The sequence below is a fragment of the Homo sapiens genome, chromosome 6 (assembly GCF_000001405.40).
Source record: "Homo sapiens chromosome 6, GRCh38.p14 Primary Assembly".
Taxonomy (NCBI): Eukaryota; Metazoa; Chordata; class Mammalia; order Primates; family Hominidae; genus Homo; species Homo sapiens.
The window spans coordinates 70,154,902-70,171,364 of record NC_000006.12 but is presented as its reverse complement, the minus strand read 5'-3'; the positions used below and the strand labels follow the sequence as shown (position 1 = coordinate 70,171,364).

The 16,463-nt window shown below is 36.3% G+C and overlaps 1 protein-coding gene across 8 annotated transcripts in view; it reads right to left on the bottom strand.

The window, feature by feature from the left end:
* The window catches only part of COL19A1 (collagen type XIX alpha 1 chain), a 345,913-nt gene that overhangs the window by 41,104 nt on the left and 288,346 nt on the right, over positions 1–16,463 (bottom strand). For all 8 annotated transcript variants that reach the window (NM_001858.6, XM_047418188.1, XM_011535437.3 and 5 more), the window contains 9 exons: positions 15,134–15,238; positions 14,996–15,049; positions 14,642–14,695; positions 9,412–9,465; positions 7,969–8,022; positions 5,380–5,424; positions 3,290–3,340; positions 3,150–3,194; positions 2,684–2,710 (listed from right to left, as the gene is read on the bottom strand). In NM_001858.6, coding sequence (NP_001849.2) covers positions 2,684–2,710; positions 3,150–3,194; positions 3,290–3,340; positions 5,380–5,424; positions 7,969–8,022; positions 9,412–9,465; positions 14,642–14,695; positions 14,996–15,049; positions 15,134–15,238 — 489 coding nt within the window. The remainder of the gene's footprint in view (positions 1–2,683; positions 2,711–3,149; positions 3,195–3,289; positions 3,341–5,379; positions 5,425–7,968; positions 8,023–9,411; positions 9,466–14,641; positions 14,696–14,995; positions 15,050–15,133; positions 15,239–16,463) is intronic.

Sequence of the window (16,463 nt, the reverse complement as noted above, 5' to 3'; positions counted from 1 at the left end):
TGGTCCCAGGCTAGCTGGAGCCTGTAGATCCTCAAGAAACACTTTGGGAAAAGCTGTGGTGAAGGAAGTTGCTAACTCTGAACAAAAAAAGCATTAGGGAAGGGGTGTTCAATATTTTGGCTTCCCTGGGCCACATTGGAAGAAAAAGAATTGTCTTCCAATAAAATACACTAACACTAACGATAGCTGATGAGCTAAAATAATCACACACAAAAAGATCTCCTAATGTTTTAAGAAAGTTTACAAATTTGTGTTGGCCATATTCAAAGCTTTCCTGAGCTGCATGCAGCCCATGGGCCATGGGTTGGACAAGCTTGCATTAGGGCTTTAAGTTAAAAAAGAGATAAAGTGGGGAGTTGTTTGATGCCTTCTTGTTAATAAATTAATGTTCACTGCAAATATTTTCTTAGGACACCGGATGCTTTAGACATAATCACAAAGAAACAAGAGCTTTCAAATTGTGTTCTCTGTAAGTGTGTTTTTGCATACATAATTCCAATCTGCTTCAAAAATATTACCAGGGATATAACTTCATTATTATTTATAACATTGCCCTTATTACAGAATACTTAGTGAGTGAGCATATGAACTGATATGCTTTCTATGTTTCAGAAATCTTTTAAAATGTCCCCTAATATGTAACTTGACAACTGATCAAAAAAAAAAGTTCAGATTCTGTTCTGCATAAAGTTCTGTATAAGAGGCCCTAGGTTGCTGACAAAGGAAACACACTCTTTGATTCTCCTTGTTTACATTCTCAACAGTCCTTAAGACAGAGGTGCTCAATCAATCAACATTTGTTGAAAGTAGCAATAATTAAATATTTAATTAAACATCATTTATAAACTGAATACCAAAGGAATGAAATGGAGCGCCTCAGAAGATAATAAATTCAATTAAGGGTAATATTCCTCTAGAAAGGTTTATGGAGAAGATTAGAAATAGTGAGGCAGGTCTATTGTCATGGGATTTGAAGAATGTTGGAAGAGTAAATTTCCAACCTCAAAAAGACTTCTCAAGTTTTTGCTCTGTGATCTACAATTCTATCATTCCTGGATTATTTCTATGGCAGGAACTATTATTTTTCCCTACAGGACAGCTGGTGGGAGATGATGAGAGTTGCAGGGTGGTGCTGACAGAGAACCCAAAAGAGTAACTTCAAAGTTTCATCCAGGATGAGGCTGAATGTGTACACTAAATGTGTATTTCATTTCATGATTGCATTTTTCTGTTTCTGTGCTTCACTCACTCAATTCACATCTCTAAAAGCAAGGAACACACTTCAATCAGTTTTTATTCTTCATCCTTTGTTGTAGCTAAGAAATTTGAAGACTAATCTCTTCAAATTCTACTCAAATAGGTCTACATTTTTGTTGCCAGCCCCTTTTCAATGCCAGTAAATTATAATTTATCCTTTATTATAATACTTAAAAAGTTCTTATCTTAATCTGCAGTTATTAATGCAAGAACTTCAAAGAATGTTCCCAAAAAGTCAGTGAGAAGCCTAGGTGCTTTTAAATGATTCAGAGAAGCTGTTTTGTGTGTATGAGTATGAGAGGGAAAGACCAGGAGGAAATTTTTATCAACAAGATGTAAGAAAATTAAAATTAGAATGAAGCGTATAGTTGGTTTCAGGTAAAGATAGGGTAGACAGGGTGAATGAATAGTAAAACAAAGGAAACTGAATTACAGAATATGATCCTAACTAGTTGAAACAATGCTTTCAGGGGATAACAATTTGGCTTTTAATATATATTGCCCAATAACAAAATCAAACAGCTCTTTAATGCATCTCTTTAAAATATGTTTTTAGACATAAAAACATTACTTGTTATGACTTGTCCCTTTGCTGGTTTAAAATTTATTCATTGAGTTTTAACAAACTGTACTATAATGAAAAGGCTTTAAATTTTTTTTCACATGGCAATGGAAAGTGTTTTGAAAATTTATTTCAGCTTTAGGTACATTTGAGTTTCAAGTATATACCCAAAGGTTAAAATATATACAAATGAAACATGAAGGATATGCTTGAAAAAGACATGACAGGAGAAAATGCCCAGCAATAAAGGGCATCTAATTGAATTTGGCAGAACTTTTACAGAGGCTCCATGGTTCAGAAAGATGCTGAGAACAATTATCGTCCTTTAGGCGGCTGGAGGACATGATCTCCTTCCATGCTGAGCATAACCTCCTGATACATTCCTCCTAATAAGCAGCCTTATGACAAAACATATCTCCTGCAAAATAATTGCCTAAGACGTTTAAAGCAAATAAACAGTTCCTTTTTTTTTGTTGGGGAGATGGCAGATATATTAAGGGATTTCTTTCCAGTAAGTATTTCTCTTCCACAATCTACTTAAAATTGAATCAATTATCAGAAGAGGGCTATTAGAAGAAAGTGCCCCATTTATCAGAGTTTATATGTGTCTTCCTCCATCACAGGATGATTTTAAAAACACACTGACGGAAAGAGACAAACCTCAAGGGCAGTGACAACATCAGGACTAATGCATCTCAGAAACAGAGAACATATTGCTGGCATTTATATTGTGGCCTGCTTGTCACCACCAGCATGTTAATTGATGAACACCTAAGAAGGCAGGCCATTTTGCCCGATGCTTTTCTTTCAAAATTTAACAAAGACCAATATTCTAAATGACACAAAACATGGGAACATTCATACCACTGGGCCAGGATCGCCTTTTGGGCCCTGTAAGAGAAACATGGAAAGTCATTTTTCAAATAATGACCAAAGCAGTTACAGAATAAGAAACACTGTTGTCCAATTTGCCTTAATACACATACGAATATTAGCAAGTTTTGCTTTAATTACAGTTTGAATTTGAAGAATAAGATGAATAAATATAACTTGATGGAAATTTCATAAAAATGATTGCTTGGACATTGACTTAGTTCTTAGATTTGCAATGAAAAAAGTGACACCACCATGAAAAATGCTGTTTTCCATTATTTTGGCTGCATACATTTTCTCAATTTTATTATAATTGGTTTTACTTATTTCCTTCTGCTGTAAAATTTGGCTGTATTCATAACATGCGTTTTTCAGTGAACTTAAGAGGTTTTTATTGTTTGTTTTTCATTGTGGTTGTTCAGCTAAAGTGTGTTTGATGATAAACAACTGTACTTACAGGAGGACCGGGTGGCCCTGGGTAACTGGGAACATTCACACCTCCCTTCAAAAGAAAATGAAAAGAAAAGAAAAAGAGAAAGATGAGACGAATTTACAGCAGTCTATAACTGGATTTTAAATAATTACAAATATAAATACCTTAATTTTATATAAACTGCTCATGCCGTTTCGTTCATTAAATGGAATACCCTTAGGAAAGAGGTGAGATACAGAATTATTCTTGGAAGTTAATACTTTGCATCTCTACATTTTATCATTTTACCAAATGATACTATTCCTATTCTATTTTTTACTTTTTTCTATTCTATTTTACAAAGGGAATTTAATACTCTAAGTAAAATAATACATTTTAATTTTTAGCTTTTCCAAAGCAAATGCAGGGAAATGAAAAGGGAGTGTGAGCTACACCTGAAGCACACGGATACTTTCAGTTGGGGTTTAATTAATGTTCAGGTTTGACAGATGAGACACTAATGCATTTGGAGGAAAATATTTGCTCATTAAAATTCAGTTTCTGAATTGTCAATTTATACTAACTGTTTACAGCCTGCTAACCTGCAGGCTATAATGCCATAGTGCTGATGAAGATGTGAATAGGGAACAATTTGGCTACTGAAAAGTAATTTTTTTCCACAGTCTTTTCATACCAAATAGAAAATTAAGGTAAATGGGGAGATGACATTATCCACAACCCTGTGTGGATGTTTCTACAAAAATAAATTCTTTAGGATAAAAGAGAATAAGAACATCTTGAAAAAAATTGACATGTCCTAGAGTAACCAACACTTAAAGGAGAACTTATTCTATAGTTTAAAAAAATCATACATTTTAGCATTTAGGAAAAATTTCCATATAAAAATTTTAGTTAGAATCTTTTGTCTTTCTTTTTAAACATTTGTATAGAATCAATAGTCAAATCTGCCTTTTCCTTTCTGCAGTTTTCACATATCAGTTGCAGAGTTGAAGAAGTCACTGTTTCATTGTTTCTGTATGATGGTGGCCAGTAGTGTTCTGTGAAGACAATTTGCATGCATCTTCCAAACACTAGTGATGGAAGACAAACGCTCCATCCATTTATTACTCTATTATTTAACTCATTTATCTGACAGCGACTGAATGTCTGCCATATTTTAGTGTGCTACGTCCTGGAGAGACAAAGGATATTTTCATCTGAGATTTCCAAAGGAGGTTTCCCAGGGAAGAAAACATTTAAACTGTGTTTTGAAGGATGGATGGTTTTGGAGAATTCAGAGGGAAGACAAAGACATCTTAAGTGCATTATAAAATTATAGGTCCCTTTCATGAACTCATGTTATATTTGCTGTTCTGCCCACGGGGGAAGGAGTGAATTTTAGGATTTGAACCCTAATACTTTCCGTCCTGCTTTCTTGTCAAGGGAAAAGGTCAGTAACACAGATGAACAGATTTAGGAAACAAGTTTAGGAAATAGAGTGCTAATCTCTTCATTTACGTGTACAAAGCATGCAACTGCACGCAGACTGATAATAATCCTCATTGTCTTCGGAAAGTCACGGTCAATTCTGCCCTTTCTATGGTGAGTTTGGTTTCTTAAAGTATTCCTGTGAGGTGGGGTAGAAAAGGGTGTTTTGCGTGATATCTCAGCTCGGCTCGGCTGCGATTCGAGCGTGGCCCCACATGAGGGCAGACTTGCCACGGAGAGAGGCTCCTCTCCTCTCCACCGTTTCCCTGACGGAGCGTGCATCTGTCTCAATCACAATAATGAAAACATCGATGCCTCTTGTACTTTTTGTTCACTAAGAGCTACATAAATAGAGTTTCCTTGCATCTCAGACATCATGAATGGGAATGAACACATATAGCATAATATCCGATTTTCTACCAACTCGCATCAGCGGAAAGGATCTATTTTTCTGGCCCTTCTCCTTTCTGTGAATGAAGCACATTAAGGTTAAATGACTTTCCCAGGGGCCCCGAGCCAGGAAGTGGAGAGTCGGAGCACAAACCCAGATTCCTAAATCCAAGATGGGGAGACCCGCAGTATGCCAATCTGAGCATTGCACATTGAGGCTGAACCAAAAGGAGAACAAATCAGGTCTCTTTAAAGCTACATTGGCTATCATTTATATTTATACACGAAATTCAGAAGAATTTTATCTTTGAAAACATCTAAATGTAGTCTTACCTCTGAGTTATAAAAGTCTTAAGTAAACACATGAATTTTAAATTTTAAGCCTAGAACAACTCACAGGTGGTCCAGGTGGTCCGGGTTTCCCAGGGGGTCCGTCGCTGCCCTGCAAGGGATATATAGACATATCAGCGGCGTAGACGTTTCTACCCCAGGTTTACAAACTATCTTCTGAAATTAATCACAGAGCCATCTTCTGAAATCGATATGACTTGCCATGTTGTTTCAGCCTTGTAGTCTTATTCAGCTGGGCTCTCCTTTACCCAGGAAATACATTTCTAGACCGCAGGACAGGTAAAGGTCTTTTCCCATACCCATTCTGACTCTCACTGTGTGAGCTCTAGAAACGAAGCTTATTTTTAGATGGAGCCAGACAACCCAGGTGCTCATGTCCTGGACTTCCAGTGCAGCTGGAGGAACTCTCCCAATGTGGAACTCTCCTACAAGCAGGCAGTGGGCTCTGGGATTGTGGCTCTGAGTCAGCCTTCACTTTGAGCCTCATTTCTACCACCTTCATCTTTTGGGAACCAGAGGGGACATCCACATAATTTGACGAAAGTAAAAAAATCACAACCTGTGTTGTGTCTGCAGGAGGGAAACTTCATCTTCCATTTCCTACGTTAATATCTGACTTTACACCCAAGTCAGACACATCTTCCTGAGCAGAAGCAACTGTGGTATAGTACTGTTTAAAGCAAATAGTCACTACAATTTAAACAGTCTTAGACTTACAGGAGAAGCAGACTGAAAATAGAATTTGTGAAAATGAATTCAAGTTGAAAGTTGAAAAATGTATTTCACTTCTATTTTTATAAACCATAGATGTTTATCGGTCCATAATAAGCAGAGCTATTGAAGTCCCTCTGGTGTCTCTCAGCAGTTCTTCCTATAACTCTGCTTTTCTCTCAGAATAATAGCCTCATAAAATCTCTTAAGTCCCTCTATAGCAGGGGAAATGGCAAGACATGGTTAATTAAAAAAGAATTCAGATAGAGTAAAATTTCTACTCACAATGTCCAAGAATTTTGAGGGATTTTAGTCCATTCCCATAAATGTAATCAAGGACTTCATTCCAATACCCTGCCATTTTTTGTAACGAAAGTATCATAAAATCTTTTGTTCATGTTTATCAATAAAAATAAACTGTAAAGTTTTTCTTGCAATGCTTCTGCCTGAGAATATATAACAAAGAACAAGCATATTGTTTCTTTTCCCAAACTGCTTTGATGTGGCTATCTCTCTAAGACATGTCACATTCTGCTGACAACTGGCAGTGTCCTTCAAAGAATTATGTCATAGTTCTAATGAGTCAACAAACAAGGAAAAATATGTGCCTACTGAAAAGTCTTTTTTTTCCCCCGGCACAATTAAAAGTCATATATTCACTCTCATTTGTGCCCCAAAGCTCATCTCAGTGTGGAATTCCCATTAACTTCAAAGGCAAGTCTATGACTGAATAATTTCCATAGAGAACAGAGAAAAAAGGCTAGTGGGGTTGGGCAAGCTCCTTGGGATAAAATCAGAAAAAAATGTGCAGAGACTATCTAGAATAAAGTCATTGTTTCCTTCAAAATGTGTTGGGATTCCTTTGCTCCTTGATGTCATTATGTTCCACGTTGGTCAGGGAACTTGTGTCCTGACGAGTGGGTGGAAGCTGCTTGAGTGGCTCATGTGGACTCTTGATTCTTACTTCCCCGATCTAAATAGCTAGGCTTATTCCACTTACTTGCTGGATCTGCCTGGACTAGTACAATAGAGCCAGTTTAGATCTTAAATGGGGTAAACATGTAAAACTGTGTGGTGTCCTGTCTGAGACTCATCTAATGCTGGTCCTCCTTTCTGACCATGGCAACCCATCTGTCCAATAACTGATCTCCCCAGGAAACAAGCTATCCTGGTTCTTCAGTAAATTTCCCCCATGACCGTCTAGGGACAGAACTTCTCGACTGTCTCTGCAAGCTCTTTGGTTACCAGAATCTTGGTCCTGAGAGCCAGTCTGCTGTCTGGAGCTTTTGGAGGTGGGGCCTTTGGGAGGTGATTAGGTCATGAGGGTGGAGCCTTCATGAATAGGATTAGTGCCCTTATAAAGGAGGCCCAAGGGAGCTTGGTCACCCTTCTACTATGTGAGGACACAGCTAGTAGGTGACATCTATGAACAAGAAGGCAGACTCTGTCAGACACCGATTCTGCCAGCACCTTGATCTTGGACTTCCCACACTCCAGAACTGAGAGAAATATGCATAAATGTTTGTTGTTTATAAGCCACTCCGTCTATGGTATTTTGTCATAGAAAACTGACAGCCCCTGTGGCTGGAACTCCCTGGTAGACACCACATTACTTGCATCCTTCCAGGAGGCTCCCCCACCCAATCCTTCCACATAGATGGTTGCCCAGGATTCTGAATCCAGCCTGAACTTTTGTTTTATGGAACCAATATTCTATTTATCCTTTCTCCTAGGAAAATATCTCCCGTGTTTAGAATAACCTTTGGACCTGTGTTCTTCCAAATCCACTACAAGAATAGGTACTTTCTACCATCATTTCTACTTTTAGGCTTTGCTTGATTTTATGGCTCTCTCTGTGAAGAGTCTCATCCTGCTCCCACTCCAAGCCCCAGTTTGGATGGTAAGTGAGGCTTTTCCTTTGTACCTTTTCACCTTTTGCTCCTGTGGGACCAGGATGTCCAGTTCTTCCCATTAAGCCCTGTAAAACACAAAACTAAGTTTGTTACAGAAACAACAATTAAATGGCCAAAGGGTATTGGAAGTTGGTTACTAAAACTTACACATTTTGAAGGTCATTTGATCCTAATTAAATAAGCCCTAGAAGCTTATGTTTCTTCTGGCTGATACAGCAGCTGTATCCTGCTGATAAGCCCTTGGAAGGGTAAAATTTGTATTTGTGGTCGCTTTTTCACCTTCGTCAACCACATTTAATGACCTTAATTGGAACCTTTTGATACACTTAAGAATCTAGTCTTGCTGTTTAAATGGCAATTTACATAACATTATGCCTTTCTAAATGAGCTATAGTTTTGGTAGGGATCAACATTTTAAATACTTCAAGGCGGCAGAATTAACAGTGTGCATATTGAGTTCTATGATCTGCATTTTACCACTGAAAAATAAAATTTAATTTTAATCCTTTGGGAACAGAGTTAGCTATAATTTTCATGGTTTCTTTCACAACTCTTTTTCATCGTTTTTAATTTTAGTGAACAATTTAAAGCCAGGTTTGTTCTGTATAACTGTGGCGGAAGCATAAATGACACAACTTTAATTATGGAAAATCCTTATTTCAGAACATTAAAATATATAATTACATTCCTACTGGTGTGGTAAAGACTCTATTGGCATAGGAACTCTAAGAAAGGATGAGGTGGAGAAGTTGAAGCATGTGCTGGGTTGCCAGATTTAGCAAATAAAAACACAATATTTGGGATGAACTTATATTAAACAATTATTTGTTTATCTGAAATTCAAATTTAACTGCATGCACTATATTTTATCTGATGACTCTAGAATTAAACTGTTTGAATGAGAGATTGGGTTTGGCAAGTATAAAGCAAAAGAGATTCTGTTCTAGGAAAACAAGACAGTGAAAGACACGAAGGCTTTGATGGTGTGTTTGAGGGGCAGTGAAAGCCTTGACTAAAATAGAGGTATTTTATTTTATACATAGGAACAAAAATAAATGAAATCTGATAATCCTTAGCACACTTTTTTTTCCTTTAGAAAATAAATTCTCAGTTTGTGGTGCCATTTGACTATCTCTTCTAAAGGTTAGTGCCAAAAAATTATAAATAAAAAATAGAATGCTCTTTTATATGCAATTTCTATTTCAAACACACTAGCTTAATCGCAGACTGCTTTCTGGTCTGGTGGAATTCTGAGGCAAGTCCCCAGGACACTGAGTAGCCTTAAGTAATACTAAATGAAAATCTGAGAGCTTGGATGAGGCTACTTTTCCAGGCAATATCTGGACAATCTACATAGAGGCACAGAGAACAAAAGGCAATGAAGAAAATTAATTCACCTTGCATCAAACCAGCAGATATAAGCTGTGAGTGCAATCGTTTTAACAAATACTTACAGGGGGTCCAGTCGGGCCTGGAGCACCTGGAATGCCTGGAATTCCTTGAAGACCCTGGAAAAGATAGTTCCCATCATAAAATCTGTTATATCATTGGGAAGAAGGCATTTTAGTTAATCAAATATTTTGACCATTGAACATTAAACACTTATTTAGCTAATCGAGAAACATAATGTTTGTCATATACAAATATACTTTTTTAATTCTAATTTTTTAATTTCAAAAATAAAAATTTTTCTTTAGGGGTGCAAGTGATTTTCGGTTATGTGGATAAATTGTATAATGGTGAAGTCTGCGATTTTAGTGCACCCATCACCCAAGTAGTGTACACTGTACCCAATAGGTAGTTTTTCATCCTTCACACCTCGCCTATACTCCTCACTTCTGGGCCTCCAACGTCCATTATATCACTCTGTATGCTTTTGCGTACTCATAGCTTAGCCCTCACTTATAAGTAAGAATATGTGTGAATACTCAGTTTTAAAGAGTAAGAAGGGTGAGCTAAAATGCCATGACATGGAATCTGAAGCAAACATAATTTAATCTGGTGATTCATAGAGCATTTCTTATTTTATAGGGCCACTCCGTCAGCAGTAGTATCTAAGAATCTCGTACTGGTAAAACATGGAAATACAAATTTTAGATTGGCAGAATGCCATTGAAGAAATAGATGATTACACTTAAGCTCCATTCAGCTAGGGAAAAATGGAATATGTTTTATGATATAATATTTATTTTAGCTTGTCAGTTTATTATAAGAAGAAATTTGGCTCACTGGTGAATTTAAATTTGGAACGCTTTAATGGCTTAAGCATAATAATGAATAGATTTCCCCTCCCTCCCCTCCTTAGATTTGTAGAATAGCACTAATTATACCGGATAGGATTTAAGATGCTGATACATTTATATATCAAGGAAGAAATGGTAAGATTAGCTAACTTATGTAATTAGTTTTGTTACTTTGATACATTTGCCAACAACAGAATATTGTTAGATAAATTACATACAATTTATAACATGAAATATTTTGCAATTATTAAAATCATGTTTTAAAAAAGTTAGAAAACATGTAAAAATAAAGTCACAAATCTTATATAGCACAGGGTCTAAATTTTTAAACAATTTTAAATGTACTTCCTAAAAGATGGGAATGATACATACAGGCTTTTATTATTTTATCACGACAAATAGATAAGTTTTATCAGAAACTTTAGTGTTAGATGTGTTTTAGAATTCTGGATTATCACTTCATTTCACAGGTAACATGATATACATACTGAATATTATATCACACTGCAGTGGTGCCTGAGGCAGTGCCCTCTAATAAACACACAAATATTTCTGTGGCAAAACATGATATTCTGACAGAGTGGAATAGACAAGCTCCGTGTGAGTTAGGCCAGATTGGGCTGCCAAATGAATTTGCTTGGGAAACAAAGCCAAACTTGGGAAACATTTCCAGGGTTTTCAGAGGCTTTGGTTTTGGAATTTATAGATGAGGTGTTGTTGATATGATTTGGCTCTGAGTCTCTACCCAAATCTCATCTCAAACTGTAATCCCCACATGTAGAGGGAGGGAGGTGATTGGATCATGGGGGTGGTTTTCCCCATGCTGTTCTCATGATAGTGAGTAAGTTCTCAGGAGATCTGATGGTTTTGTAAGTGTTTGGAAGTTCCTCCTTTGCTCTCTCTCCTGCTGCCTCGTAAAGGTGCTTGCCTCCTCTTCACCTTCTGTCATGATTGTAAGTTTCCTGAGGCCTCCCCAGCCACGTGGAGCTGTGGGTCAATTAAACCTCTTTCTTTTATAAATTACCCAGTCTCAGGAAAGTTCTTTATAGCAGTGTGAAAATGGACTAATAGAGTTGTGGACCATGACATTACTATTGCCAGAAGTCCCTCCTGGGTAGTGGGAATAGGGAGAAATTTTATCTTTTAGTGCATTTTTGTATTTTCCCAATTTTCAATAGTGGACTGAGATCACTTCTATTATGAGAAAAAACTATTTTAAAATATGCTTTTGTTATTTCAGATAACCATGTGATACATCAAGTTCTAGACTGAATGATTCCATTCTTTCAGGATTTAGTCTCCTTTACTGAGTAAAATATTCTTTCTGGATTGCCATACCATTCTTTGTCATCATACAATTCCTTTACCTTTTACTATTATGATATATGCATTTTCATATACTTTATAAATATTAGATGATGTGGCCATGGAAACATTACTGCATATTGATTATCAGCATTCTATAGGACTGTGAGCTGGATCAAGTTTCTTTGCATCAGTGGGATCAAGGACCAAGTTCTTCTAGGTTTGTCCATTCAATGCCAAATGGCATCATGTGTTACTTCAGGTCTATTCATGTGATATGATATGAAGAAGGGCTTAAAAATTCTACTTGAACATGCTAGAATTCCTCATAAGTCTTGGGCCAAATCTTGTGTGTATTGGTGTTAAAGAATGTTGACATATTTTTCTTCAAAATTTTATCAATCTCATTGGCAGTGCTGTGTGTGTGTGTGTGTGTATGTGTATGTGTGTATACATGGGCATGTGTGCATGTGCAGGCTCTACATATCGGTATGTGGTACTCATTCTTTTTATTCCCCTAACATTAACTTGTATGCAGGTTTATAGATGCAAAGTAAAAAAATTTTCATTGATAATGGCACCTCTAAATGACTGGAGATTATAAATGTTATACCATAAATTTCTTTACCTCAAAATACCCATATTTCCATAAAATTCTTTCTATATGTACATGCATAAAATATACGTATATATGTATTCCTTTTTTTTTTTTGCTACTTTTAGTCTCAACACTGAATCAGTCCAGAGATGTTGAGTGAGTTTTTAGATAGTCTAATTTATAAGCTTGGGATTCATTAACCTTTGATGACCACATTAAACTTTAAAATAAACCTCAGTCCATAAATAAAAAATCATTCCCATCAGCCTTTCTCTGAAAAAGCTGAAATTCTGTAGTAAAAGTGAAAGTTACTATGGATGCATAAAGGGCAATAAGATAATTTTAGAAGACAAGATGATCATTAAAGAAGACAAATACATATTAAAGAGTAGGACAGTCAATTTAACATACAGTGCCAAACTAAAATACAAATTAAAATTTATTGCAGAGATATTTGGAGACCATTGGAGCTATGTTCTTACCCTGCTCTGATATTTCATTTTGCAAATCCTAGCCCAGTTGCTACCAAGAATATTTTCTGTTGCTATAATATCTGGCTGATGATATTTTTCATGTCTAATTTATCAATTATTATCCCAAGATATTATAGGAAGACCTGCATTTCAAGCAAGAAATCACTCCATCAAAGGTTAGCATGTGTTCTATTAGCATCTTCCAAGTTGCTACCTTGAGCTGTGCAACAACGTCTGTGAAAAATGTGGAAGAAAATGTTGCTTTTCTAAGAGTAACAAACAAGCAGGCAACTCCTCTCTCTCATTTTCCAAACAGATGAAAGACATAATAATTAGAAGTCTCAAAGAGATGGGGTGTCCCTCTGTATCTTTTCCACTTAGAGTACAATAGACATTTGAGATTTCATAAGATTAGATCTCAAGTCCATACTGTATGTTGAAATGGTATAGTTCATTGGCCAGTTGGAAATGCACTTGTTTTTGGTCAAAGTTTTATTCACTTTGACAAATCAACAAATTGTAATTTCAAATAATATCTGAGACCAAGTAGAAGACAAGATTATATCCGTTATTTCCCATCTGCTAAAGAAAAAGCTGCACCACCTTATTCCCCCTACAAGGCCTAAAGGAGTCAATAGTTTACTTCAGATTTATTCATATTATTCACGTAGTGTGAAGAAACAATGGAAAAGAATCTCCTGAACTTGCTGGAACTCCCCATGTAATGAGAATTGTGTACAATTTTGTGAACTGTGTTACAGAATTTATGAGGGGTACCGAAGAAAAAGCCCGCTAAAGTGTGGAGGAATATTAGCAATGGATTTCAGTTCACCAAGAGAGAAAAGTGCCCTGTAGAATCAATGAAAATTAACTTCTAGTGACTTTAACTTAGAGTTACTTATACAAAACCTGAATTCCAATTATTTCCTGATCTTTTTGTTATTACCTTCTCAATTGCCTCTAAAGCCTACCTTTTGGGTGGAGGTAGTTCAAAGCTGTTGGACTATGAAAATCAGTTATTGTGCTTGTACTTTAGTAAAACCTTCTGTGGAACATGAGGAAGCAAAAGCACAATAACTTATTTTGAAGATAATGTTTTATTTATGGATGAAAATAAATATTGAATATACTTGGTATTCAATTTTTAACTTGGGAAAAAATCAAACCTCAAAGTTTTCTAGATTACAAGCAATATTAATTAGAAACAATAGTACATGATGATTACTGGTAATGTAAAATATAACTCCACCTAGAAAAATAGATTTTCTTTATATAGTTATGATTTTCTACAATAACATCAAGGTTAATATATGCCAGATGGCTTACTTACTTTCATTAAGAATTAGTAGTATCAAAACTGTTTAAACTAACAGCAATTCATCATTCTAATTGGTTTTTCTAAGAGTTAATGTGAATTATGTAAGAAAAAAATGATGTCCTGAGCATCACCATGGCTTACAGTCAGAAAATTATACCATTATCTCAAAAGCACATTGGACTTGGAACCTTAGTCCAACGGGTGAGCAGCTGATGTAAACTAGAACAAGAAGATTTTTCTGACAGTTTTTTTTTCTCCCAAGAATTTGAAAGCTGAGCAAAGACACAGACAATCCAAGGTTGCTGAAGTTTAATCAGAGTTTAGTGGTACCCAGGGAAGCTCTGCTGGGTTCTTGAGCTGCCCTTACTGCTAGGCTGGTTGTCCAACTACTATTCCTTTAAATCTCTTAGCTACCTTGGAATTCTTTTGAGTAAATTTTCCCTTCCTCCTTTCCCTTACTTTTATTTTGAGAGAGCTGGAATTATTATCTGTTAAATGAAAACAGAAAAATTATAACTGACATATTAACTTTGTGCCTTAATTTCCTTGTCTCTAAAACCGGACCCTTGGTAATAAACATAAATATGTTATTTAAAATCTGTCAGCATTTTAAAAGCTCTAAGTGGTCTTTGTTTTTATTGGTTATAGCATCAGATCTGAGCTATAGAAAAATTAACATTTTTACTCTGTTGAGCCACGTAAAGAGAATCAATATTAGGACTATATAATCAGAAAAGAATCTGTTACCTCATCGCCTTTCTCCCCAGGTATCCCAGGGTAGCCCCGCTCTCCTTTGCTTCCCTAAAAAGACAATACATTCAGCTAGCACATGCAATCATTTTTCTTATCTTTTGGAAATGAAAAAAATCTCTTCTAAGAACACTTGGGGCATGTAATTTGGACAGGGTCAGGGAACAAATAAATGGCAACATTTGCAAGTGACTTTTACATCACTTTCTCTCTCTCTCTCTCTCTCCATATACATACATACATATATATATATAGTATGTATTTTAAAAGTTGTCTATTTTCAAATCGGGTTCTTTTTTTCATACTAAATTGAGGTTCCCACAGGGGAAAGTGGAGGAGAGAATTTCTTACCTTTGGTCCCTCTCTTCCTGGGATTCCTGGAGGACCCCGTGGCCCTATATCACCCTAGAAGACAGAGGAAGAACAGAACTGAGAGGATGCACTACATGTAACCCACAGGGATCGTAAACATTCAGCCAGGCTTCTCACCTTCCGGGCCATGGAATCATACTTTCCAGGCTCACCAGCACCTCCTTCTTCTCCTTTGTTGCTTTTCAGCCCTGGGACACTGGCTTGGCAGTTGCCACAGAAATTCTAATGAGTATAAAGATAAGGTTACTGAGGGAGTCATAAAAGCCGTCTATAAAGGTGAGGTTTCATGTGATGTGAAGTTTTTTTGGAACCTCTGGAGATGAGTGATATAGATAGGTCATTCTGCTTTCAGACACTTGATGTATCCAATTTAAAAACATTAATTTTTGTGAGGCAAAAACTGTTTACAAAGCTCATCAGTGATATCTGTTTATGATATTGATGAACTTTTATTTTTAAAACAGGTCTCCAATGACACTTAAATAGAAAATTCCAAATAAATAAGGAAAAGACACATAAGTCAAGAACAAAAACTGAGGCTCAATTGTTTAGCAGAATGTTTTAAAAGGGAGTGGTAATAAAGTTTAGAAAACCCAGCAAGATTACAGAATTCAAACAACCTATAGCATAAACCATTTTAAAAACAACAGAAAAAATTGTGAAGAAAGGATTTGTTCTTCTGGGAGCAAAATTAGTTCTCCAACTACATACAGTTTACTAACATTTTGTCAGTGGAGGCACTCGAGAGAAATAATTACTTGACTGACATAAACTTGACTCCTAGGTCATATCCAAGTGACAATAGGAAATCTAAGTGAAATGACCTTTCCATTGCCTTCTCTGCAACCTTTAGTTGATCTGGGAAGGCTTGACTTCAAGTGTCTGAGCTCATAAGATAAACATAACTCTCATCACACAGCTAAAGAAAGTGTGTGTGAAAAGCTCTATATAGGCTTATTTTTAAATAAATTGTTGGAATAAGAATATGACCAAGAAAGGCACAGAATAAGGGCCACTGAGTGGGGGAGATAGTTTAACAGTTGACAGAAGGTAGGACAACTTAAGTTTCCATTCTTCCATCCTTTTCCCTAAAGGGAAGAATCTTTAAACATGAAAAAGAAGTGAAGCTTGTTATTGATAAGAAGCTGGCAAGAAAGCCCATGGCTATTCAAATTCAATATTTTTGACCTAATGAATAGCAATGTAAATCTGATTTTCAAACATGGGCTCCTTGGAACACTAATTTTGCACGATACTGAAAAGCTTACAAGGTGTGATGGTTAATACTGAGTGTCAACTTGATTGGATTGAAGGATGCAAAGTATTGTTCCCAGGTGCATCTGTGAGGGTGTTGCCAAAGGAGATTAACATTTGAGTTGGTGGACTGGGAGAGGCAGACCTACCCTCAATCTGGGTGAGCACCATCTAATCAGGTGCCAGCTCGGCT